This window comes from Homo sapiens, chromosome 12 (genome assembly GCF_000001405.40).
Source record: "Homo sapiens chromosome 12, GRCh38.p14 Primary Assembly".
Classification (NCBI taxonomy): Eukaryota; Metazoa; Chordata; class Mammalia; order Primates; family Hominidae; genus Homo; species Homo sapiens.
Window position 1 is genome coordinate 6,264,628 of NC_000012.12, and position 25,741 is coordinate 6,290,368.

General features: G+C 50.4%; 1 long non-coding RNA gene and 1 pseudogene across 4 annotated transcripts in view, besides 4 other annotated features; both read right to left on the minus strand.

Annotated features, from left to right (window-relative positions):
• Positions 1-25,741, minus strand: part of LOC105369625 (uncharacterized) — a 71,439-nt gene that overhangs the window by 40,659 nt on the left and 5,039 nt on the right. The gene's annotated exons all lie outside the window — the stretch shown is intronic.
• Positions 4,208-4,953: an enhancer, noted in NCBI's record as "OCT4-NANOG-H3K27ac-H3K4me1 hESC enhancer chr12:6378001-6378746 (GRCh37/hg19 assembly coordinates)". NCBI's record gives its function as "activates a minimal SCP1, AML or CMV promoter by ChIP-STARR-seq in naive and primed H9 embryonic stem cells {active_cell/tissue: H9 hESC(naive and primed)}" and the evidence as "EXISTENCE:reporter gene assay evidence [ECO:0000049][PMID:30033119]".
• Positions 5,398-5,815, minus strand: ATP5MFP5 (ATP synthase membrane subunit f pseudogene 5; annotated as a pseudogene).
• Positions 13,887-14,366: a silencer, noted in NCBI's record as "silent region_4158". NCBI's record gives its function as "represses an Ori minimal core promoter by ATAC-STARR-seq in GM12878 lymphoblastoid cells {active_cell/tissue: GM12878}" and the evidence as "EXISTENCE:reporter gene assay evidence [ECO:0000049][PMID:35858748]".
• Positions 15,376-15,670: an enhancer, noted in NCBI's record as "tiled region #10601; HepG2 Activating DNase matched - State 5:Enh". NCBI's record gives its function as "activates a minimal TATA promoter and a strong SV40 promoter by Sharpr-MPRA in HepG2 cells {active_cell/tissue: HepG2}" and the evidence as "EXISTENCE:reporter gene assay evidence [ECO:0000049][PMID:27701403]".
• Positions 16,502-17,001: an enhancer, noted in NCBI's record as "H3K4me1 hESC enhancer chr12:6390295-6390794 (GRCh37/hg19 assembly coordinates)". NCBI's record gives its function as "activates a minimal SCP1, AML or CMV promoter by ChIP-STARR-seq in naive H9 embryonic stem cells {active_cell/tissue: H9 hESC(naive)}" and the evidence as "EXISTENCE:reporter gene assay evidence [ECO:0000049][PMID:30033119]".

Sequence of the window (25,741 nt, forward strand, 5' to 3'; positions counted from 1 at the left end):
CAATGAGAAACAAACAGGTTCCAGAACTTTCTCTAGATCATACTGCAGCAGGTGCTGAAGTGGGGATTTGAACCAGGTTCACCACACTTTGAAACCCATGCTCTCTTTACCACCGCTTGAGACACCCAAACACACACATGTATCGGCACGGCTACGTCTCCCGGTCTGTTTCCAGTTTCACGTTCCTCCCTCCTGGGCCAAACCACCACTGGGGACTCTTTTCTTCCTACAGCTCCAGGCAGCGCTGCATCATGGAAAGGTCACTCAGCTCACATTCATGACATGCTTTCTGTATGCAAGGCAGATCAGATCTAAGGGCAAACAAACATACCCAAACCCAGGGGACTACTGAGCACAGACAAATAAATAAGCAATTACAGTACAAAACAAGAAGTGATCAAGAGATACATAAGAGGACCCAAGAGCCCTCAGAAGGCCACTTACACTGCAGGAGGGGCCTTAGGAAATACTTCCCTGAGAAAGTGACATTTAAGCTGAGACCAAGGTATTAATACTACAAAGGAGTTACCTAAGGAAGGAAGACAGGGGGTGAGGGAGGGCCATCCACACAGGCTCTAGAGCAGGCGGCCTGGTTTTGAAACCAGCACCAGCACTGCCTGCCTGTGCCTGATGCACTCAGTGCAGCTGCACTTAACTTCTCCAGCCTCAGTTTCCTCATCGTAAAATGGCTAGTAAGCCTGCTCATTCCTGTAATCCCAGCACTTTGGGAGACTGAGGCAGGAGGATGACTTGAGTCCAGGAGTTCAAGACCAGCCTGGACAACATAGGGAGACCCCATCTCCAAAAAAGAAATAGACAAAACAAAACACAACAAAATGGATAGTAATAGTACCTGCCTCTTTGGGTTGTAGTTGGGAAAATTGAGTTAACACATCCAAGTGCTTAGAACAACAACTGACACAAAAGGTTCCTTAAATGTTCAATTAAAATATATGAAGAAGCGGCCGGGCGTGGTGGCTCACGCCTGTAATCCCAGCACTTTGGGAGGCTGAGGCGGGTGGATCATGAGGTCAGGAGTTCAAGACCAGCCTGGCCAAGATGGTGAAACTTCATCTCTACTAAAAATACAAAAAAATTAGCTGGGCGTGGTGGCATGCGCCTGTAATCCCAGCTATTCGGAAGGCTGAAGCACAGAATTCCTTAAACCTGGGAGGCGGAGGTTGCAGTGAGCCAAGATTGCACCACTGCCCTCCGGCCTGGGCAACAGAGCAAGACTCCGTCTCAAAAAAAAAAAAAAAAAAAAATATATATATATATATATATATACATATATATACGAAGAGGCTAGGTGCGGTGGCTCACGCCTCTAATCTCAGCACTTTGGGAGGCCAAGGTGGGCGGATTACCTAAGGTTAGGAGTTTGAAACCAGCCTGGCCAACATGGTGAAACCCCATCTCTACTAAAAACATAAAATTAGCCAGGCGTGGTGGTGCATGCCTATAATCCCAGCTACTCAGCAGACTGAGGCAGGAGAATTGCTTAAACCTGGGAGGCAGAGGTTCCAGTAAGACAAGACTGTGCCATTGCACTCCAGCCTGGGCAACAAGAGTGAAATACTGTCTTGAAAAAAAAAAAAAAAGCAAGCACATATGAAGGGGCCAGGCATAGTGGCTCACACCTATAATCCCAACACTTTTAGGAGGCTGAGGTGGGTGGATCGTTTGAGCCCAGGAGTTCAAGACCAGCCTGGGCAACATAGGGAAACCTTGTCTCTACAAAAGAATACCAAAAAAAGCTGGGCTTGGTGGCTCATGCCTGCAATCCCAGCTACTGGGGAGGCTGAAGCACAAGAATCACTTGAACCCGGGAGGCAGAGGTTGCAGTGAGCGGAGATCACGCCACTGCACTCCAGCCTGGGTGACACAGCGTAACTCCATCTCAAAAAAAAAAAAAAAAAAGGCCAGTAGTGACCTGTATTTGCACCGCTGCACTCCAGCAGAAGTGGTTTCAGGTGCCCAAGAGCAGGTGGCGGAAGGCAGGTGAGGTGGAGAGCAGATGCCCATAAACAGGCAGGTCCATGTGGGAGGGAAGCTCCAAGAGGAGATGATGCCTTCAGCTGGGAATAGGGAGGTGGCTGGGAGTAAGCAGAGAAGGCCAGACACATCCTTAAGGGAAAATGGATGAGAAGCTTTTGAATCTGTCTGGCTGACAATAACCGCTCACCGCCTAGGACTAGACAATTCACAAGACAGTTTCTTAACACGTCCTTATTCCAACCTCAACAGCCCCAGGGAACAGGCTTGTCATTCCTCTTTGTGGGAGGGAAACTGAACCGGAGGGGGATTAAGGCCCTGGGCTTGTTCGTGGGGTCTTAGACCTAAAACCAGGTCTTCCAAGTGAGGCTGTCCTGCAGGTCTCACATGCACACGCACACACACGCACACACATACACACATGAATACACACACACCCTCCCAAAGGGTCCCGGGCCCTGCTCACTAACCCCCTCTCCCGCTCGGAAAGGTGCCCTGGAAGGCAAGTGGCAGAAGTGACTTTGTTGTGGGGATGATCTCAAACCTGCTCTCACTGGGGGGAAAGTTAGTTAATTATTCACAAATGAAAAAAACAAGGTACAGGGTAATGGGAATAATATGCTAACATTTGGGTACTAAATAAGGGAAAGGAGGAATGTGTACAAGAGTGTTTGCTGATAGGTGCACAAAATGTTTCTGGAAGGATGCCCAAATTCTGGTAAGGATGGCTGCCTCAAGGGAGGGAGCTGCCCAGAGGGAAGGAAGGGGACTTTTCAGCGTGTACCCTTCTGGGCCTTTGGAAATTTGATGTGGTTACAGAAGCAAATATGTGCTTTAAAATACACGCAAGTGCTTTGGTTATGATGAATAACAGATTACTTAAAACACACCCACGACTGAGGTATGTTGTCATGTCATGACTGAAAACCATGTTCCCCCCTGGCCCCTCCTTTCCCTCCCCACGGTTCCAGTTGTGGGAGGCCACAGGCCCGAGCGTCATGATCCTTGTGAATGAGGGGGGGCAGACCACATCAGGCTCTGCAGCCTAGACTGTCCTGTCTGCCTCTTTGGGTGACCACAATCGCACCCACTCAAGCTAGACTGGAAAAGAGGGGAGACCAGGAGCCGTGGCTCATGCCTATAATCCCAGCACTTTGGGAGGCCGAGGTGGGTGGATCACCTGAGGTCAGGAGTTCAAGACCAGCCTGGCCAACATGGTGAAACCTCATCTCTACTAAAAAATACAAAAATTAGCCAGGCGTGGTGGTGGATGCCTGTAATCCCAGCTACTCGGGAGGCTGAGACAGGGAGAACTGCTTGAACCCGGGAGGCAGAGGTTACAGTGAGCCGAGATTGTGCCATTGTACTCCAGCTTGGGTGACAGGAGCGAAACTTCATCTCAAATAAATAAATAAATAAAAATAGGGCAGTGGAGCACAGGTGTGGTCCCAGCTACCGGGGAGGCCAAGGCAGGAGGACTGCTTGAGCCCAGGAGTTCAGTGAGCTGAGATGGCACCACTGCACTTCAGCCTGAGTAACAGAGCAAGATCCTGTCTCAAAAAAACAAAAGAGTATAAACTCAAAAATACACATCAGTGTAGTATGGGAAGTTAATATTTTTAAAAATAAGATAAAATAATAATAAATTAATTTAAAAGTAATAAAAAAATTTTTAAAACAGCACGGGATTCTTGTCCAGAATTGACAACACAAAGGGACTGAAGCGTTCCAGGCCCCAGGAGCAGCCATGCAGCAGGCCTCTTAATTCAGAGAGCAGACAGCGCTCAGGCACCCATGCCAGGCCCGAAATGGTCATCCCTCTGGTGGGCTACCTCTTTTTCTGCTTTTTCAATGTGTCTTCCTGCTTCTGCCCCCTCTACCAGGAGGCCCAGCTCATCACATCGCTCAGACACCAAAGCCCCCCAGTGACCCCTGGTCAGCTGTGGTGGGGCTGCCCTTGGGCAGGGTGCCCAATGCTGGGCCAGTCAGCTGAGGTCAGAGGGGACAGGGCCATGTGGGTCAGGACAGGAAATGCCCACCCTAGGAACGCGCAGCAGGGAGCCGGGAGAAGCTCAGTTTCTCTCAGAGGGGGCTGTAGGCGGGGCATTCATGTGGTGGACAAAAAACCTCCAGGACGCCTTCAGTCCAGCAGCCTTAGTTCACCTCTCCAGGCCAGCCTGGCCTCACCTGACCTCCAGGCACTGCCTTCCCTGGATGTGTACTTGCGAACAGAGGCGAAGATACCTTCCCCCATCTAAGAGCCAGGAGAAATATCACTGATATTTGTTACAAGGGAGAAGCCCCAGCTTTATAAATACCTGCCTACAAAGGGCCCTCACATGTACCCCTCCTCCCTTCCCTCCTCGGCCCCAGCCTCTGGCAGCCACCCCACTTGCTGCCTTTGCCAGGGCTCCAGCAGTAGTGAAAATATTTGGAGATTTTGGCCAACCCACGAAGCAAAAAAAAAAAAAAAAAAAAAAAAGAGCAAAATAAACCACCAAGAAAGCATGGGATTTTAAAATCAGAAAGACCTGGATTTCCTTCTACCTCTGCCACTCGCTAGCTTTATGATCTTAGATCAGGCACTTAACCTCACTCAGTTTCTTCACCTGTGAAGTGGGAGGGACAACACCTAATTCACAAGGTTGTCAGGAGAATGAAAAGCGAAGATATACATGACAAAGCCAGCCCACTACGGGGCACACAGTACAGGCTCACAAATGGCTGCCCCACCATTCCCTTTCTCCTTACATTTTCTTTCTTTTTTTTTTTTTTTGAGACAGAGTCTCACTCTGTCGCCCAGGCTGGAGTGAAGTGGCATCATCTCTGCTCACTGCAAGCTCTGCCTCCCGGGTTCACGCCATTCTCCTGCCTCAGCCTCCCGAGTAGCTGGGGCTACAGGCACCCACCACCACACCTGGCTAATTTTTTTTGTATTTTTTAGTAGAGACGGGGTTTCACCATGTTAGCCAGGATGGTCTTGATCTCCTGACCTTGTGATCTGCCTGCCTTGGCCTCCCAAAGTGCTGGGATTACAGGCGTGAGCCACCACGCCCGGCCCCCTACATTTTCCTTTCCTGTCCTCCTTCAGCATCGCAGCCACACTATATTCCTCATTAATCCCATATATTACTCAGGACTCTTGCTTGCAAGTGACGGTAAACCTTATTCAGACTGGCCAATGAGTGAAAGGAAAGTCTTTGGCTTTGTGGACCTGAACCATCCAGGCACACTGGGCTCCAGGGTACACACGGTACCACCAGGGGTTGGTCTGGCTTTGGACATTTACCAGCTCTGCTTCCCTCATTTTCAGGTGTATTCTTCCTTCATTCATTTATCAAATATTTCTTTTCTTTTCTTTTTTATTTATTTTATTTTTATTTTATGTTTTTTAATTTTTTTTACCAGTCATCTTTTATTTGGGGGTTAATTCCCATTAGGATATGAAAGGATTCAGCAGCGATCGAGATTGTGTTCCTCACGGAGGGGCTCAGGCCTAGAAGGTCGTGGGGTACGGGGTGCAGAGCGTGTCCTCTTCAGTAGCATTTGCGGAGCCGCTCGTGCTTGAGATGCTTGTAGGAGAGGCAGTAGCTGAAGATCACGTAGCATGCCAGCACCATGGTAACCCCCGAGATGCTCCCCTTCTTCACATTGATGTACTTGTTGTAGTACCGGTAGTAACTTCTTCGAAATGCTCCGAAAATGCCACTAGGGCTGAAGTCCCGCGTCAAGATCCAGCTTGGCAACTCCCCCAGTTTGACCTCCAGAAGTTTCTTGTCCTTCACTGGTATGACTGACGCCATCTTGGAGTCGTGGTGTCTTTTTCTTTCTTTTCTTTTCTTTTTTTTTTTTTTGAGACTGGGCAACAAGAGCAAAACTCCGTCTCAAAAAAAAAAAAAAAAAAAAGATTCCTCATGGGCTGCAAGGTGCTGGCCAGGGCTGCTGTCATCTCAAGGCTCAACTGGAGAAGGAACGAGCCACTTACTTCCACGCTTATTCACGGGGCTTTGATAGGTTCAGTTCTTCACCAGGTGCTAGACGGAGGGTCTCAGTTCCTTGTTGGCTATTGCCCAGAGGCCTCGCACAGTTTCTCCAACATGACAGTTTGATGAATCAAAGTAAGCAAGCCAAGAAGGAGAGAGACAGAGAGGCTGCAAGACAGCAGTCACAGGTTTTCATAACCCAATCTCAGGAGCAATATCCACTGCTTTTACCACATAGTCTTTTTTATTTATTTTTTATTTATTTATTTTTTTGAGACAGAGTCTTCCTTATCGCCCAGGCTGGAGTGCAGTGGCATGATCTCGGCTCACTGTGAACTCCGCCTCCCAGGTTCACGCCATTCTCCTGCCTCAGCCTCCCGAGTAGCTGGGACTACAGGCGCCCGCCACCGCGCCAGGCTAATTTTTTGTATTTTTAGGAGAGACAGGGTTTCACCGTGTTAGCCAGGATGGTCTCGATCTCCTGACCTCGTGATCCACCCGCCTCGGCCTCCCAAAGTGCTGGGATTACAGGAGTGAGCCACCGCGCCCAGCCTATTTTTATTTTTTTAAGAGAGGGTCTCATTCCGTTGCCCAGGCTAGAGTCCAGTGGTGCAGTCACGGCTCACTACAGCTTTAACCTCCCAGGCTCAAACGATCCTCCCACCTCAGCCTCCCGAGTAGCTGGGACTACAGACGTGCACCACCACATCTGGCTAATTTTTGTATGTTTTGTAGAGACTAGGTCTCACTATGTTGCCCAGCGTGATCGCAAGCTCCTGGGCTCAAGCAATCCCCCATCTCAGCCTCCCAAAATATCGAGATTTACAAGCGCAAGCCACCTGCCCCCCAGTTTTGCAGTATCCTGTAGGTTAGAAGTAAGTCACCAGATTTAGCCCACGCTCAGGGGAGGGGATTACACAAGGGCGTGACCACCACGAGGCAGGGATCACCTGAGGCTGCCTACCTCAGGGGCCAGTGCAAGAACTTTAGTTTCACTCTAAGTGTCCTGGGAAGCTATTATGGGGTTTTGAGTAAAAATATAGCATAATCCAACTTATGTCTTTACTTTTTTTTTTTGAGATGGAGTCTCGCTCTGTTGCCAGGCTGGAGTGCCGTGGCACGATCTCGGCTCACTGCAACTTCCACCTCCCGGGCTCAAGTGATTCTCCTGCCTCAGCCTCCTGAGTAGCTGGGATTACAGGCACGCGCCACCACGCCCAGCTAATTTTTGTATTTTTAGTAGAGATGGAGTTTCACCATGTTGGCCAGAATGGTCTCGATCTCCTGACTCCGTGATCCACCCACCTCGGCCTCCCAAAGCGCTGGGATTACAGGTGTGATCCACAGTACCCAGCCCAACTTATTTTTAAAGGTCATTCTGAGACCGAGGGCAGTGGCTCACGCCTGTAATCCCAACACTTTGGGAGGTGGAGGCGGGCAGAACACGAGGTCAGGAGATCGAGACCATCCTGGCTAACATGGTGAAACCCTGTCTCTACTAAACATACAAAAAAAAAAAAAAAATTAGCCGGGCATGGTGGCAGGTGCCTGTAATCCCACCTACTCTGGAGGCTGAGGCAGGAGAATCACTTGAACCCGGGAGGGGAAGGTTGCAGTGATCCAGGATCACGCCACTGCACTCCAGCCTGGGCGACAGAGTGAGACTCGGTCTTAAATAAATAAATAAATAAATAAATGTCATTCTGACTCGTGTTGAGCATAGACTGTGGGAGGTGGGGAAGGTGGGAGTTAGGAAACTAGTGAGGAGGGAGGAGGTCAAGCAGGATTCCAGGTGGGAGAGCCAGCTGGCAGCCGTGGACGGGGTGAGGAGTGGCTGGGTTCGGATCTGCCTTGCAGGATTTCCTAATGGATTGAGTGTTGGTGTGAGACAGAGTCAAAGGTAGCTGCAAGGGGTTTGGCTCTGTGCACCTGGAAAGGTGCAGTGTTGAGACATGCAGCAACAGCTCCCCACCCAACTCCATATTCCCCAGCAACCTCAGCAGAGTGAAAAATCCTGCTTCCCAATGACTCCAGCTGGAACATAGGGGAACACAGTAGGCACTCACCACTCATTGTTGAGTGGTAAATAAGTTTATTCAACAGATGTTTATTTCAACCTACTTGGCACCAGGCCCCATGTCTACACAGTGAAGACAGACACAGTCTTTGCATTTCTGAAGTTTGCAGTCAAGCTTCTTATCTGACGAAACTAAGGCAGGTAGAGAAATGAATGATTGGCTATGACGCCCCCCTTCCTGGGGAATGTGGAATCTTTCCCGAAAGTTTTTAGACCACAAGAATGGCCCTCTAAACTTCAGGTTTCAGCCTGGCTATTTCCAGGCAGGGCAGCCTTCTGGGTGCATCTCAGATTACACCTGGGAGGCCACCCCACCCACACATTCAGCCTGCCAGAGCCCTGACCACAAAAAAAGGTGTCCTGAGACAGCCGCCCGCCTTCCTTTTTTTTTTGAGACAAACTCCATCGCCCAAGCTGGAGTGCAGTGACGTGACCTCAGCTCACTGCTCAGCTCAGCACTGCTCAGCTCGGCTTGGCTTCCAGGGCTCAGGTGATTTTCCACCTCAGCCTTCTGAGTAGCTGGGACTACAGGCATGCATCATCACGCCCGGCTAAATTGTGTGTGTGTGTGTGTGTGTGTGTGTGTGTGTGTAGTTTTTGTAGAGACAGGGTCTCGCCATGTGGTCTCAAACTCCTGGGCTCAGGCAATCTGCCCACCTTGCCCACCCCAAGTGCTGGAATTACAGGCATAAGCCACCGCATCCAGCCTCCCCCTTCATTGTTGAGACATTCTCAGTAGCAGTCAGGGTCTCAGCAGCAAACAGAATGTATCCAAAAGGGGTGACCAAGGAGAATTCAACAGAAGAGCTTATTGTGGAGAGGTGGGCAGGGTTGAGGGAAGTCCACAAGGAACAAGGGACAGTGAGGCCCACTGCAGCCAGCAAGAGCCGAGGCCCCTCCCCTCCAGGGCTGGGGAGCAGGGGAAGGAGCAGGGAACCCGAGCCAGGAGACCTGGAGCTTCAGTGGGAGCTGCTGACAGGAGCTATGGCCTTCAGGAGAGGGAGGTAGCCACTGCCCACCAGCAGCCCAGCAGGGAGTGGGTGTCCCATCTACTCCCCTCTCACCCTCCGATTCCTGCTGGTGCCTCCTGCTGGCTGACTGGAACCCAGAGGGCAAGGGAGCCCGTCAGAAGCAGCGGAGAAGTCAGCCTGGTGGGCCCTGGGGCATGGGGAGTGGGGTGGAGTGTGTGTCTGCGGGGCACACAGGGAAGGGCCAGCACACGCTCTTTATCCCAGAGGCCCCACCTGCTTCCTTTGGTCAGGCTGGGAAACTGAGGCAAGAGCAGCTCAGCCTGAGGAATCTGAACTTCACACCAGGCAGAAGCCTGAGGGGTTCGAGCTGGGAAAAGGCACAACCACCATTATGCAGTTTGGGGCTGGTGGGGAGGGGTGTGGGTGTTTGTCTGGCTATCACCATGGCAACCACGCTAAGCTGCCATCTAGGTCAGGCCAGGGAATGGCTGGAAGTCACTTTTTCCATCACCTACCCATTCAGTCCCATCCCTCTTTCCTTCCTCCTTGGCCCCAAACAGAGTGACTTCCCCTGTTGCTCCATTCCCAAGCATGAGAACAATGGATGCTGCTGGCTCAGGGTAGGGTGATAAGCTCGGGCTGGCATACCATGTTGTGGGGGGAGGAAAATAGAGGGGAAGAAGTTACAGAGGGAGATGGCACAGGGGGTACCAGATAACCCAGAGCGAAGGAGGGAGGATTGCGGCAGATGGCCGCTGTCCAGGAGGGGTGACCTGCCACCTAGAACATTCAGCCTGTGGTCAGCAAGCAGCTTTCATTGGTGTGGTGACACCACAGCATACCAAACTCTGTCCTGCCCCTGCCCCTGCCAGTGGGACAAGGAGCAAGGCCCAGGATGGGAGGGGATTTTAGTATTCCCTCCTTGTAAATGCACCAAAAATGGTTACCAGGGAGCTGCAGATTCTAGACAGACAGGGCACCAGGTCTCCCTCCAGGAGGGACTCCTAGAAGAAGGATGTTCCTTTTTGCTTAGAAAGGCAAAGGTGGGAAGGGAGGGGGCCATAGCCTCACTCAGGGGACTTCATTGTGACACAGGCTTTTGATGCTGGTCAGTCCTGCTGGGCGGGGTTACCCCAGGAAGCAGGGCGAGGGCGGCCTGCCAAGCCACTCTCCTCTCCCACAGGCCTCCCCTCAGCCCTGCTCTGCAGCCCCTCTCAGGGCCACTTTGCTCTAATCCTCCTCTCCGCCCTCCTAATTCCAACCTGCCCCCCTGAGCTCATTTAGTTCAGATTCCTCCTCTGCATAAAGTCTTCGATCGCTGGCTACATAGGCTGCACTACCCCAGTGAAATTCCAACACATTCACTGCTTAGAGCACGCAGTTCTCACCCAGCATGATGCAGTTACCTTCCTATGTGGATTGCCTTACTGCCCTACAAACAGCCCAGAATTGCCTCAAACCCACCTCCATGCTGGGTGCATACAGCAGGCACTCAGTGCATACACTCGGATTCAATGAGGAGCAGAGGCAAGATTCTAGGACCTCCCATTGTCAGAGACTTTAATATCAGCTGCTGACATCTTGGGGGTTCCCTAAAAAGGGCAATTACCCCTCACTCTGCCAACGAGGCAAGAGAAAGCTCCATCAGGATCACATTGGTGTCACTCACAGTCACCAAAGCACGTCTTTGCAGACTATCTTATTTGAACCACATTGCAATCTTGTGAGGTACCCATTTAACAGGTGAGGAAATTGAGGGTCAAAGAGGTTAAACGGTATGTCCCAGGGTACAGAGTGAGTCTAGAACACAGGTCCCTAGACACCTAGCTTAACACTTGGAACCCAGGAAAAATACCTGCTATCCAAAGAAGAACAAAAAAGGCTATCAAGCCAGGCGCGGGGGCTCACGCCTGTACTCCCAGCACTTTGGGAGGCCGAGGCAGGTGGATCACTTGAGGCCAGGAGTTCGAAACCAGCCTGGCTAACTTGGTGAAACCCCATTTCTACCAAAAATGAAAAAAAATTACCCGGACATGGAGACACATGCCTGTAATCCCAGCTACTCAGGAGGCTGAGGCACGAGAATCACTTGAACCTGGGAGGCAGAGGTTGCAGTGAGCCGAGGTCGCAGTGAGCCGAGGTCGCGCCACCACACTCCAGCCCGGCCGACAGGGCAAGACTCCGTCTCAAAAAAAAATAAATGCTATGAAGCTGGCAGATACCAGACCCAACATTACTCCAGGGTGGAAAGCAATACTGAAAGAGAGGGAGAAACAACTTGCCCCAGAAGAGGGGAGATGCAATCCCTCCCTCCAGCTCACACAGGGAAGCAGACACACGCATGGAGAAGCAGACAGATGTGAGAGCTCATGACAGTTCCCGGGCTGCCAGCATGGCCGCTCTAAGCCCTCAGAGTTCAAGGGTCCAACCCCAGGTGAAAAGCTCAGAGGAGGGTCTACTCTGCCCAGAACCTCTGAGGGAATGAACGCCACTGGGAGGGGGAGAATACTGGTGCCTGGTAAGGAGAGAAATCCAGTAAACTGAGGCAGGGGCCAGAAGAGGCTGAGAAGGGACAGGACTCCAAAAGCAGCACTCACCTCTAACCTCTATTCCAAAACCACCCTAGTGGGAAAATCCTGGACACTCTACCAGTGAGAAGAAAGGGAGTCCACCCTGAAGTTTGCAAACATAGCTGCACAGGAAAATCACAGGAATTGTTTCTTCGAAGTATAGATTCCTAGGGCTACCTCAGCCTAGCTTGTGGAAATCCTGATGCCCAGGGAGAAGCACAGATTTACTCAATCGGAATCTCTTGGGAGGGCTCAAGCACGAGCATTCCCTTTAAGTCCACTGTATCATTGTACAATCAAGGTTGAGAACCACTGCTTTCAAAAGGCCGGGGGAATCCGTGTGTTGAACGTGTCTCAAGAGATTCTAATGAACCCCAGGTCAGCCCTGCTCTGCTCACAGGTAAATGGGAAACCTTGCTAAAGATAACTCATCCCAAATCATCAAGTGTCGTCTACAAAACCAGCAAGGGGGCGGGTGCGGTGGCTCAAGCCTGTAATCCCAGCACTTTGAGAGGCCAAGACAGGCAGATCACAAGGTCAGGAGTTCAAGACCAGCCTGGCCAACATGGTGAAACCCCATCTCTACTACAAATACAAAAAATTAGCTGGGCACGGTGGTGCGCGTCTATAATCCCAGCTACTGGAGAGGCTGAGGCAGGAGAATTGCTTGAACCTGGGAGGCGGAGGTTGCAGTGAGCCGAGATCTCACCACTGCACTCCAGCCTGGGCAACAGAGCGAGACTCCATCTCAAACAAAAAAACAAACCAGCAAAGGGAATGGCGGGCGCCAGAGACCAGGTCCTGGGGCCATATGGAGAGCTAACAAGGAGAAAAGAGTGGCAAGTGAGTCTCTTCTGGCCCTTTGGCACCTGGGAACAACCAGAGAGCTTGGTCCTCTGGTGGCAGGAGCAGAGCAAGCAAGGGCAGCAGATTTCCATAAGGAAAGCGGCTCCTCCTCCCAGGGCTGGGTTTAACACTTTGCTCTTCAGACACTGTGAAGGGCTGAACCCTTGATAGTAAGTATGTTACCAGACTCCACCAATATCTGAACACGGCCTCTAAAGTTAGGGAGTCGGGGGAACTCCTGCACTATATTTCCTAGCTGTGTGCTCTTGAGAAAGTTACCTCGCTTCTCTGAGCTTCTGTTTCCTCAGCTACCATATGCAGATAAATAATAGCACCTTATGTCCTTGTGTGGTTGTGAAATCAAATGAGATCATTGATGCCTGAGGAGCACTTGGAACAGTACCTGGCACACATAAAGATCAGCTAGTAGGCATAGATATATAAATATCCATATGTGTTTATATAAATATGCATCTATAAATATAATTATATACCTCAAATTATACACATAAAATACAGTTGATCCTTGAACAGCACATGCAAGCATTGGGGCATCAATCCTCAAGCAGTCAAACATAATTTTTTTTTTCAATGACAGCGTTCTCGCTTTTGCCCAGTCTGGTCTTGGACTCGGGTACTCAAGCAATCCCCCAACCTCAGCCTTCTGAGTAGCTGGGACTACAGGCTCCCACACCTGAGTATAACTTTTGGCTCCCCTAAAATTTAACTACCAATAGCCTACTGTTGACTTAGAAGCCTTGCAGATAACATAAACAGTAGGTAAACACGTATTTGATGTTATATGTATTATATATTGCACTCTTACAATAAAGGAAGGTAGAGAAAATATTATTAGGAAAATCATAAGAAAGAGAAAGTGTATTTACTATTCATAAATGGAAGTAGATCAGGCATAAAAGCTGAGGAAGAGGGGGAGGAGGGAGAGGAGGGTTGGTCTTGCTGTCCCAGAGACAGCAGAAAATTCTCGAATAAACGTACTCTCGCAGTTGAACGCCCTGTTGCTCAGGGTCACCTGTATCTGTAAAATGCAATCTTAGTGGAGCGCTGACTATACGCCAGGCACTATTTTAGGCACTTTGCATGCACCTTGTGAGTGGGAGGCCCAGCAGAGCTGACTTGTGAGTTCTGGGACTTTTGGAGAGTCCCTGCGTCCGTCCGTGGGCGGGATCTCCAAGGTGAGGCCGGTGGCCCAGGTTTGGCAAGTTTTCTGCAGCTTTAACACACTCGGCTTCTGAGCCAGATCCTGTCAGGACACCTTCTTCAACCTGCCAAGCGGGGACCCACCCAGGAGTTCCTATTTTTTCCTGATTTGCTCTGAGAAGAGGCCGAAACACCGGGGTACACCCAAGAACGGAGAGGGCTTTCTCCCCACGTGTTAGCCAGGGGGCACATTTCCCCCGCGGCGGCCGCCCATGGCCGGGCCTTGGCAGAGCTGTCCCTCGAATCCGGGCCGAGCCGGGGCCGGCCCCGAAACCCGCTCTGGGAGGGAAGCCACGCCCGGCCCCAGGAAAGGAGCGACGGGAGGGCCCGCGGGAACGGCCTGGCCCAGGCCCGCGCGCCCTGCCCTGTGTTCCCGGGAGGCGCGGTCTCCTGGCGGCAGGGGAGTCCCGGGAGGGCGCAGGGCGGCGCAGAGCCTGGGATCCCCGAGGGTCAGGGCGAGCCGGCGGCCAGGGCGCGGCCGGGCGGGGAAGCCAGGGGCGGAGGGGGCGCGGTAAGCCCACGGAGGGCTGACTCATCCTGGCGCCGCCCTGACTCACCCGCGGCCGCCCTGGCAGCCCCGTCCTGCCGCGCCCCCTCGCGGCCACGCGCGGAAGCGCAGCCGGGGTGCCCCGCCCCGCCCCGTCCGCGCCCTCCTCGGAGCGCCGAGCTGGCTTTGAGCTCTGGCGAGAAAGCGCCAATCGGCGGCAACCCGGGAATCCAAGGACATATGGGGTGCATTGGAGTATTTTTCCATTTTCTTGTAGATAATGAGGTCTCGCTCTGTCGCCCAGGCTGGAGCGCAGTGGCGCGATGTCGGCTCACTGCAACCTCCACGTCCCAGGCTCAAGCGATCCTCCCGCCTCTGCCTCCTGGGTAGCTGGGACCACAGGGGCGCGCCGCCACACCCGACTAATTGTTTCGTTTTTTGTAGAGGCCGGGTATTGCGGTGTTGTCCAGGCTGGTCTGGAACTTCTGGCCTCAGCCCATCCTTCGGTCTCGGCTCCCAAAGCGCTGGGATTATAGGCATGAGCCACTGCCCCCGCGCCCACTTCTGCTTCTAAAAAATGAGTTTCAGGGCCCTCTCCTGGTACCCCAAGCCAAGGCCAAGTGGGAACTGGAAGCTGGAACAGCCCAACTACCCACCCAGCCTGCAGAGGAGAGACCAGAAATAGCCCTTAGCTTCCAGGGAGATGGCGAGTGACCTGATCCTGCGCCTGGTCGGCAGGCCCTTGAGAGCAGTGGCCTCCTCTGTCTTGCTCTCCACCCGATCCTGACTTGTAAGCCCCGTTTGCCCGCATAGTCCCACAATGTACGAAATGAATGGATGGATGAGGGGCTCTGGGGTGCAAGGGAGAAGGAAGCAGGCAGAAAAGCCTTCCTCATCGGGGGGCTTCCTCCTCCACTGTCATCCGCAAGGGACTAAGGTCCTGAATGTGAGTGCCCAGCAGATCCATGCCTGGCCCCAGCACCCTGACTCACAGCCCTCTGCCTGGGACAGTTACCCATTTCTCCTTCCCGGTGGAGCTGGGTCCTGAGATGGTGGCAAATTCACTGGCGTTGAACAGAGACTGGACTAACGAGGGTGACCAGCACTTACCCGGTGCCACCTACCATTGTGCTGAGCCTTTGTGCATAGTTTTGTATTTAATACACCTACCGTGGGCGGGAGGGGGCTGCTATTGTTGTGCCCATACTAGGAGAAGGGAGTGAAGACTTAAGGAATGGCATAAGGATCATTTGCATAGCTCTTAGTTATTTGAGCAACACATTCATTTAATTCCACAGCAATGTGGGGAATGAGGGACTCTTCCCTGCTTTCCAGGTCAGCAACAGGAAAAACAAATGATTTGCTCAAGGCCACACAGCCCCAGTCCTCAAACACCAAGTTCTGGCCTTTTTCCATTTCCGGCCACTGCCACTCCACCTTTCCCCACCCCTAGGCAGCAAGAGTGACTCACTCTCTGAACTCACTCCACATCCCAATTCCAGCACCCATGAGTAACTCTCCCTTTGGATAGCTTTGCACCAAGAACAAACCTAAACAAACCCTCTGCTGGGAGGTGAACTCCTCCTTCTGTTTTGTTCCTGCTGTGTCTCCAGTTCCTAGAATGGCCAGCTCCTGGGGCTCAATAGGTTTGTTCAGTGAACGAAACCTAGACCAAAGGATGCCAGGCAGTGCCTAACAGACCTCCAAAAGACTGGAGGAGAAGGAAGTGAAGGAGTGGGGGTGGGAGTCAGTTCTGGTCCTAAACCTCCCCGGAAAGAAAAGAGATACTTCCTAGCGTTCCTTTAGTGGCCAGTCTTCATGCCTCATATCCTATGGGGTCAGAAAATTCTTCCTCAAATCTAGCCTTGATCTTATTCTCACATTCCCCACACACCTTAGGGGCAGGAAATGAGGTTGGTGTCCTCCAGGCTCCACATGGCTGCTTCCAGAAGTTACGCCCCACCCCCACCCCCACCGCACCCCCTCATGAACATCCTTTCAGGGCATCCCATTCCAGCGCTCTCTCCTCGTCGCTGTCTTCCTCTGGCCTCCTGCTCGGCCCCTGGCTCCCGTCTTGCTCTGCACCCACTCCTCTCATTATTCTAGGCAGCCTCCTCATCCGCGCGGGGGACCTGTCTGCCACCAGGGCCTCCTTGTTCCTTGTCCTCTTCTGCTCTGCTGACCACTTCCTCCACCCCAGCCTCCCACTCCTGGGGCACATCCTGACCTTGTCCTTTACCTGAAACTGACCTACCTCCGAGGCCCTGTCTCCATCCCCCTCTCTGTCCACCTGTCCCCCAAGGCCATCCCTCCTCTGGTTTCTCCTCTCACTTCAACCAGTAGAGAGACAAGGGTTCCTCATGAGAGCCACTCCTTTGCAGAAGTCCCCCATTCCCTTCCCTCTCTCTCCCTCCCGTCATACTCTCCTGACAAAGCCTTGCCCCAGATGAACCGCTCCAGGCCACACCAACAGCGCCCAGCATTGGTGGAGGAAACACAACCACCAGAGCAGATGAGGGCACTGTCACTTCTTGTCGTCACCCTCCAGTGGGCTCCCAGTGGCACCAACAGACCTAAGATGTTTGTGAAGTTGGTTCTCGCCCACTCTCCGCTGTGGCCACCATGCACAGTCTCCAGTGGCCTAGAACTCTTCTCCCCCAACCACGCCCCCTATTTCAGCTGACACACTGCTCCCTTCGTGGGGGATGTAGAGTCATCAGACAAGAACTTTCTTAACTTCCTAAGGCCAAATTCACCACTTACATGAGACCCCGCCTCCTATTTCTTTCCTGATAGCACAAAAGAGGGGCCCCCAAAAGCCAGCTGTCCACAGGCACTCTGGACTCTGTCCTCTCATGTGTCCCCACTCTGCTGACTGCATCTTTACCCTCTCCCTGCCAGATCTTCCCTTCAGCATCAAAACATGCATTTGGGGGCTGGGTGCGGTGGCTCACACCTGTCATCCCAGCACTTTGGGAGGCCAAGGCGGGCAGACCACCTGAGGTTAGACGTTCGAGACCAGCCTGGCCAACGGGGGGAAATCATCTCTACTAAAAATACAAAAATTAGCCGGGCGTGGTGGCGCTCGCCTGTAATCCCACCTACTCTGGGGGCTGAGGCGGGAAAATCGCTTGAACCCAGGAGATAGAGTTTGCAGTGAGCCGAGATCGTGCTGCTGCACTCCAGTCTGGGTGAAGGAGTGAGACTGTCTCAAAACAAAACAAAACAAACAAAAAACATGCATTTGGTAACACGGGCATCTTAAAAAGCCAAAACGATCACCCAAAGCTCCCTCCTTTCCACCTCCCCCTCACTCACGACTGCGCCCCGTTTCTCTGCTGTCTTTCAGAGCCCAGCTTCTCCGGAGCTGCCTGCTCACGAGGCTGCACTCCCTCTGGCCTCTGCCACTCCCTCCCGGCTGGGCTGAAACTGCTCTTGTCCAAGTCACCAACAGCCTCTGCGCTGCCTGCCGAGCACAGTGGGTGCCTCGTCCTCTCCCCATCGTCCTTCACAGTGGTCGCCTCCATTGTAGGCCGCTCCCTGCTCAGTCAGCTCCTGGCACTGAGCCTCCTGCTTTTCCTCCCACTCTGTGCCTCCTCCACCCAACTCTAAGCATCAGGGGCTGGTCTCGGCCCCCTTCCTCTCCATTTGCAATCTGCCTAGGCCTAGGCCATCGCTTACCTTAGATACCATCCCCAGCACCTTGACTCCCAAAGTCTCTCTCCGGCACAGACTTCCATTCAGCTCAAGACTCATACCTGACTGCCTACTTGACCTCACCACTTGAAAGCCTCCAGGACCTTAAAACAGAGCCTCACTGTCCACCCGTCCCATCAGCAGGCCCACACCACATGACAGGCCAGCCCCACTGTGACCCACACCACAGAACACCCTTGCACTTTTCACTGCGCCCAATCTCTCCTCCACCCCAGCCAGAGTGATTCTGGAATTTGTACCATGTTCATGTATTTTATAATTTCTAAAACATTAATTAAAAATAAAAAAAAACTTGAAAGCAGGGTATCAAAGAGATACCTGTACACCCAGGTTTATAGCAGCGTTATTTGCAGCAGCCAAAAGATGGAATCTGCCAGGGTACAGTGGCTCACACCCATAATCCCAGCACTTTGGGAGGCCAAGGCAGGAGGATCACTTGAGCCCAGGAGTTCAAGACCAGCCTGGGCAACATGGCAAGGCTCTGTCTGTACAAAATTTTTTTTTTTTAATTTAAAAAATTAGCTTGGTGTGGTGGTGCTTGCCTGTAGTCCCAGCTACTCGGGAGGCTGACGCAGGAGGATCACTTGAGCCCAGGAGGTTGAGGATGCAGTGAGCTATGTTTGTGCCACGGCACTCCAGCCTGGGCAACAGAGTGAGACTCTGCTGCAAAAACAAAACAAAACAAAACAAAAAAACAAAAAAAGGAATCTTCCCAGTGTCCATCAGCAGATGAGTGGATAAACAAAATGCTACATACAGTGGAATATTATTCAGCCTTAAAAAGGAAGGAAATTCTGACACATGCTATAACATGAATGAACAGTGAGGACATTATGCAAAGTGAAATAAGCCAAGGACAAGCACTGTATGATTCCACTTAGCATCGTCAAGATCACAGAGACAGAAGTAGAATGGCGGTTGCCCGGGGGAGAGGAGAATGGGGGGTTATTGTTTAATGGGTTCAGACTTTCAGCTTGGCAAGGTGCAAAGAGTTCTGGAAATAGGTTGCACTGCAGTGTGAACGCATTTAGCACAACTGAAATGTACCCTTAAAAATGGTTAAGATGGGGCCAGGCATAGTGGCTCACGCCTGTAATCCTAGCACTTTGGGAGGCTGAGGCGGGTGGATCACCTGAAGTCAGGAGTTTGAGGCCAGCCTGACCAACCTGGAGAAACCCCATCTCTACTAAAAATACAAAATTAGCTGGGCATGGTGGCGCATGCCTGTAATCCCAGCTACTCAGGAGGCTGAGGCAGGAGAATCACTCGAACCCAGGAGGCGGAGGTTGTGGTGAGCGGAGATCACGCCATTGCACTCCAACCTGAGCAACAAGAGCGAAAGTCCGTCAAAAAAAAAAAAAAAAAAAAACGTTAGGATGGTACATTTTATGTTGTTTTTTTTTGCCATTATTAAAAAGAAAAACCCATAAATTAGCTCAAGTTTCTTTCTCCCTTGCTTTTACTTTTTGGTTCTTTGAGAGGAAGTCTTGCTCTGTCGCCCAGGCTGCAGTGCAATGGCGTGATTTCGGCTCACTCTGCCTCCCGGGTTCAAGTGATTCTCCCGCCTCAGCTTTCACCATGTCGGTCAGGCTGGTCTCGAGCTCCTGACCTCAGGTGATCCACCTGCCTTGGCCTCCCAAAGTGCTGAGATTACAGGCGTGAGCCACTGGCCCAGCCTCTCCCTTGTTTTAAACTCCACGATGGTGTACTGTTTCCCTTAGAATAAAGTCTGAATTACTGACCTGGCCTAGAAAGCCCTGCTGACTGCACCCCCTGCCCAGCCAGGCCGGGCTCTCCCTCCCTGAAGACAGTCCCGGCTTCACCTTGAGCTAATATGCTGTTTCCTCGGACAGGCCTCCCCTAGCCAGTGTACCTGCAGGTTTCCCCACCGTCTCTGCTGTGCCCTGTTCATTTCTTTGGAGCACAGTTCCCAGTGTGTAGCTACACGCTTGTGTGTTTAGTGTCTATCTCCAACCCCCACGACCGCCGTCACCACCTCCTCCAGGCATGAAGCCCCCCGAAGGCAGGAACCAACGCTGCTTGGTCGCCAGACTGTCCTCAGCACCCAGCACAGCTCTGGACATGTCCTTGGTGCCTTCCACATCTTTGCTGATGAATGGGTGAGGCTCTCTCTCAGTGCAGCAACAGCGCAGAGCTGGACACTCCAGGAACTGAACCCCAGCCTCACCACTTCCTAGCTGTGTGACCCGGGCAATCTTTAGCCTCTTTGAACTTCAGGCTCTTCATTGGTAAAATGGAGACATCTTGCAAGGTAGTTTGAGGCTTGTATTAAATAACCTATAAAAAGTGTTTTCCCCTGGTCAACCAACTGGTCCCTAACATCACTGTATTCTACCCCTTCAAGGGGATACTACTACTTAGGCAATAATTCTTGACTTTTGGTGGGAGAAGACGGTCACATACACCTTTGAGAACTTGATTACAACTATAAACTACCTCTAGATAGAGGTATATACACTTACTCAGACATATATATATAAATTCTGAGGTTCACTGACCATAAAAAGTCCTACCATGGTTGCCAGGTTAAGAACCCTGAATGTAAGGAAAGAAACGAAATTAATGTGGTTAAAGAGCTGAAAGCTCTTTGGGTAGCCGTCAAGAATACGTGGAGAAGAATAGGAACGCCAGACCCAGGGGGGTCCAAGGCTGGCGTCCCTAGTGCCACAGTGCCCTCTGGTGGTAGATCATAATCATTGCTGCGTACTCCCAGGCCAGAGGAAGAAATGTAGGACTCGGAAAATGCCGGAGTCCACTCTGTCTCCCCTCAAGCCTCCAGATTTGTACACCCATCTGTCCTTCAGTCATCTTCCCCACAGCCCATCTCTTAGGAATTTGATATCTCTTAAGGCAGTGAAATGTTTCTCAGAGTGAGGCCCAAGGACAGTTTACTCAACAGGTCCTCAGGTAGACAGATAGTTTCAGAGGACAAAGTGATCAACAATTTTGTTCCTCTACTTTTCACAGATCTGAAAAATGACAGCGATTATGGCTGTGACAGAAATATCATTACGTTCTAATAATGATTATGTTTTTAATAATTATTACAATCTTAAAATTGGCACAAGGGGTTTCCAGGACTGCTTGAATTACCTTGACTAATCCTTTTGTTGGCTTGTTTGTTTTTTGAAACAGGGTCTTACTCTGTTGCCCAGGCTGGAGTGCAGAGGCTCAGTCTCAGCTCACTGCAGCCTCAACCTCCGGGGCTCAAGAGATCCTCCCACCTCAGCCTCCCAAGTAGCTGGGACCACAGGCATGTACCACCATGCCTGGCTAATTTTATTTTTTGTGGGGACAAGGTCTCACTATGTTTCCCAGGCTGGTCTCCAACTCCTGGGCTCAAGCAATCCTCCTACCTCAGCCTCTCAAAGTGCTGGGATTACAGGCATGAGCCACTGTGCCCAGCCACCTGGGCTAATCTTATTTTCCATCCTATGCATGTTGTTGTTTATATTTTAAAATATGCTTTATGCATTCATATGCTTGTGCAATATCTGCAAATTACAAAAGTTATTAAATGGCTCAAAAGTGCTTCACTGACTCATCAGAGTAGCAATGAAAATGAAAATATACATCTGACAGCTCAGAATAATGTCATCCACATAAACAGTGAACAGGATTTCACTGGGAATATAAAATAGCTGTATGTGCTAGGAAGAAGGAAAAATGTAAATGATTATTTAGCCCAAGCAGCAAAGAGAAACTGTAGAGAAGAGCTACCTCAGAGAGTATCTAGAAACTGGGTTTTACTGGCTATTCACTCCTTGTCCTCAGTGAATTATCTGCTATGAAATGTCAGATCTTGGCTCGAAGTCATCAGATCTTTTGTATCAGTCACAATCAGAGTCTACTGATTTATTTTTTTTTCCAGAATAAGCAGAAAGCAACATTTCCCAGAATAAAAATTTAATTTTGTGCAAGAATATAGCATATCCTTCAAAACTGCCCTCACTCTTACAGCTGCAAGTCACTGGATGGCAAAGAAGTCAGACAAACCAGCTGGGAGGTTAATGACATTAATACTTACAGAGAAGCAGTTTTATCAAATGCCACTGTTGCATGTCACATAACCATGGCAACCAGCACACAAGAGCAATCACCATGATGTGTATGTACTAGCAGAGTCCTTTTTTTTTTTTTTTTTTTGAGACGGAGTCTCGCTCTGTTGCCCAGGCTGGAGTGCAGTGGTATGATCTCAGCTCACTGCAACCTCCAAGTGATTCTCCTGCCTCAGCCTCCTGAGTAGCTGGGATTACAGGCGCGTGCCACCATGCTTGGCTATTTTTTTTTTTTTTTGTATTTTTAGTAGAGATGGGGTTTCACCATGTTGGCCAGGCTGGTCTTGAACTCCTGACCTCATGATCCGCCCACCTCGGCCTCCCAAAGTGCTGGGATTACAGGCGTGAGCCACCGCGCCCAGCGAGAGTCCTCTTTATGGCTGCAAAACTCCTGATGTACAGACTGAAATGGCTTTTGTGTGACTCAGGCTGCAGTCATGAAGGACACATTCCTTTCAACATGGTCTTGTGGAAACAGGCAGCATGTACAAGGGAATGCTTCCCCATCACTCCAACGCCCCACCCCACACACACACCATGAGCTACTCTGACCCTAGAGAGCAAAGGTGAACTGCGTTTTGTTTTAATTTGGCATTTTAATTGAGATACAATTCACATAATTTAAAAGTCACCATTTTAGGCCAGGCGTGGTGACTCATGCCTGTAATCCCAGCTCTTTGGGAGGCCGAGGTGGGCGGATCATGAGGTCAGGAGTTGGAGACCATCCTGGCTAACACGGTGAAACCCCGTCTCTACTAAAAATACAAAAAATTAGCCAGGCATGGTGGTGGGCACCTTGTAGTCCCAGCTACTTGGGAGGCTGAAGCAGGAGAATGGCGTGAACCCGGGAGGCGGAGCTTGCAGTGTTGCAGTGAGCCGAGAGCGCACCACTGCAGTCCAGCCTGGGCGACAGAGCAAGACTCCATCTCAAAAAAAAAAAAAAAAAAAGTCACCATTTTAAAGACCAGGTACAATGGCTCACACCTGTAATACCAACACTTTGGGAGAACAAGGCAGGCAGATCGCTTGAGCTCAGGGGTTTGAGATCAGCCTGGACAACATGCCCAAGCTCCATCTCTACAAAAAATAAAATAATTAGCCCGGTGTGGTGGTGTGCACCTGAGGTGGGAGGATCACTTGAGCCTGGGAGGTTGAGGCTGCAGTGAGCTCTGATTGTGCCACTGTACTCCAGCTTGAGCGAAAAAGTGAGACCGTATTTAAAAAACAAAAAAAAAGTTAGTCCGAATTCTCTCCCTATGCTGTCCCCTGGCAACTGCTAATCTATTTTCTGTCACTATGGATTTGCCTATTCTGGACATTTTATATAAATGGAATCACACAATATCTGACTGGCTTCTTAACAAAATGTTTTCAAGCTTCATGCATGTGGTAGTATGCAACAGAACTTCATTCCTCTTTACGGCTGAATAACATTCCATTGTATGGTTATGCCACATTTTGTTCATTCATTAATCACATCACTGGATGGACATTTGAATTACCTTGGCTAATTTTTTTTTTTTTTTAAGAAAGGTTCTCACTCTGTTGCTCAGCCTGGAGTGTAGTGGCGTGATCTTGGCTCACTGCAGCCTCAACCTACCAGGCTCAAGAGATCCTCCCGCCTCAGCCTCTCAAATAGCTGGGACTACACATGCCACATTTAGTTCATTCATTCATCACATTGCTTGATGGATGTTGGGGTTGTTACTACTTTTTGGTATTATGAATAATGCTGCTGTGAACATGTATGTACAAGTCTTTGTGTGAACATGTTTTCTCTTCTCTCAGATATATACCAACAAGTGCAATTGCTGAGTTATATGGTGATTCTATATTTAACTTTTTGAGGAGCTGCCAGACTGTATTCCACAGCAGCTGAATCACTTTACATTCCCACCACCAGTATATGCGGGCTCCGATTTCTCTATAATCACACCAACACTGGTTTTTTGGTTCTTTTTTTTTTTTTTTGAGATTGAGTCTCGCTCTGTCACCCAGGCTGGACTGCAGGGGTGCCATCTCGGCTCACTGCAACACTGCAAGCTCCACCTCCCGGGTTCATGCCATTCTCCTGCATCAGCCTCCCAAGTAGCTGGGACGACAGGTGCCCACCACCACGCCCTGGCTAATTTTTTTGTATTTTTAGTAGAGATGGAGTTTCCCTGTGTGTTAGCCAGGAATGGTCTCGTTCTCCTGACCTCGTGATCTGCCCGCCTCGGCTTCCGAAAGTGCTGGGATTACAGGCGTGAGCCACCGCGCCCGCCTGTTTTCCTTTTTTTTATTGTATAGCTATCCTAGTGGATGTGAAGGGATATCTCATTGTGGTTTTGATTTCCATTTCCCTAATAACTAATGAAGTTGACCATCCTCTCATGTGTTCATTAGCCATTTCTATATCTTCTTTGAAGACTATTCAGATGCTTTGCTCATTTTTCAAATTGGGTTGTCTTGACTGTTGAGTTGTAAGAGTTCTTTGTATAGGCCGGGCACGGTGGCTCACGCCTGTAATCCCAGCACTTTGGGAGGCCAAGGCGGGTGGATCACCTGAGTTCAGGAGTTCAAGACCAGCCTGACCAATATGGTGAAACCCTGTCTCTACTAAAATAACAACAACAACGACAACAACAAAAAATAGCCGGGCGTGGTGGCGGGCACCTGCAGTCTCAGCTGCTCGAGAGGCTGAGGCAGGAGAATCACTGGAACCCAGGAGGTGGAGGTTGCAGTGAGCCGAAATTGCGCCATTGCACTCCAGCCTGAGAGACAGAGCGAGATTCCATCTCAAAAAAAAAAAAAAAAAAAGAGTTGTTTGCGTATTCTGGATGTTAGGCCCTTATCAGGTAGATATTTTGCAAATATAGTCTTCCATTCTGTGGATTGTCTTTTCACTATCTTGTTGGTATCCTTTAACCTACAATGTTTTTAATTTTAGTAAAGTTTGATTTATCTTATTTTTTCTTTGATTCTTGTGCTTATTTCTAAGAAACCATTTCCTAATTCAAAATCATAGAGATTTTCACCTGTTTCTCCGTTTTTTGTTTTTTGTTTTTTTGAGACAGGGTCTCCTTCCGCTGCCCAGGCTGGAGTACAGTGGTGCGACGTCGGCTCACTGCAGCCTCAACCTCCCAGGCTCAAGTGCTCCTCCCACCTCAGCCTCCCAAGAAGCACACCATCATGCCTGGCAAATTTTGTTTTATATTTTGTAGAGACAGGGTCTCACTATGTTGCCCAGTCTCCACCTATATTTCCTTCTCAGATTTTTATAGTTTTAGCTCTCACATTTAGATCTTTGATATATTTTGAGTTAAGTTTTACGTATGGTATGATATGAGTTCAAATTCATTCTTTTGCATGTGGACATCGATTTGTTTCAGCATCATTTGTTGAAAAGGCTATTCTTTCCCCCACTGAATGGTTTTGGTAATGTTGGTAGAAGTCAATCGACCATAGATGAGTGGACTGGATTCTGTTCCGTTGGTGCATGGACTGGATTCTATTCCATCCGTGTGTGGACTGGATCCTGTTCCGTCGGCGCGTGGACTGGATCCTCTTCCGTCGGCGCGTGGACTGGATCCTGTTCCGTCGGTGTGTGGACTGGATTCTATTCCCGTCGGTGTGTGGACTGGATCCTGTCCCGTCGGTGTGTGGACTGGATTCTATTCCCGTCGGTGTGTGGACTGGATCCTCTTCCGTCGGTGCGTGGGCTGGATCCTGTTCCGTCGGTGCATGGACTGGATTCTGTTCCGTCGGTGTGTGGACGGGATTCTATTCCCGTTGGTGTGTGGACTAGATCCTCTT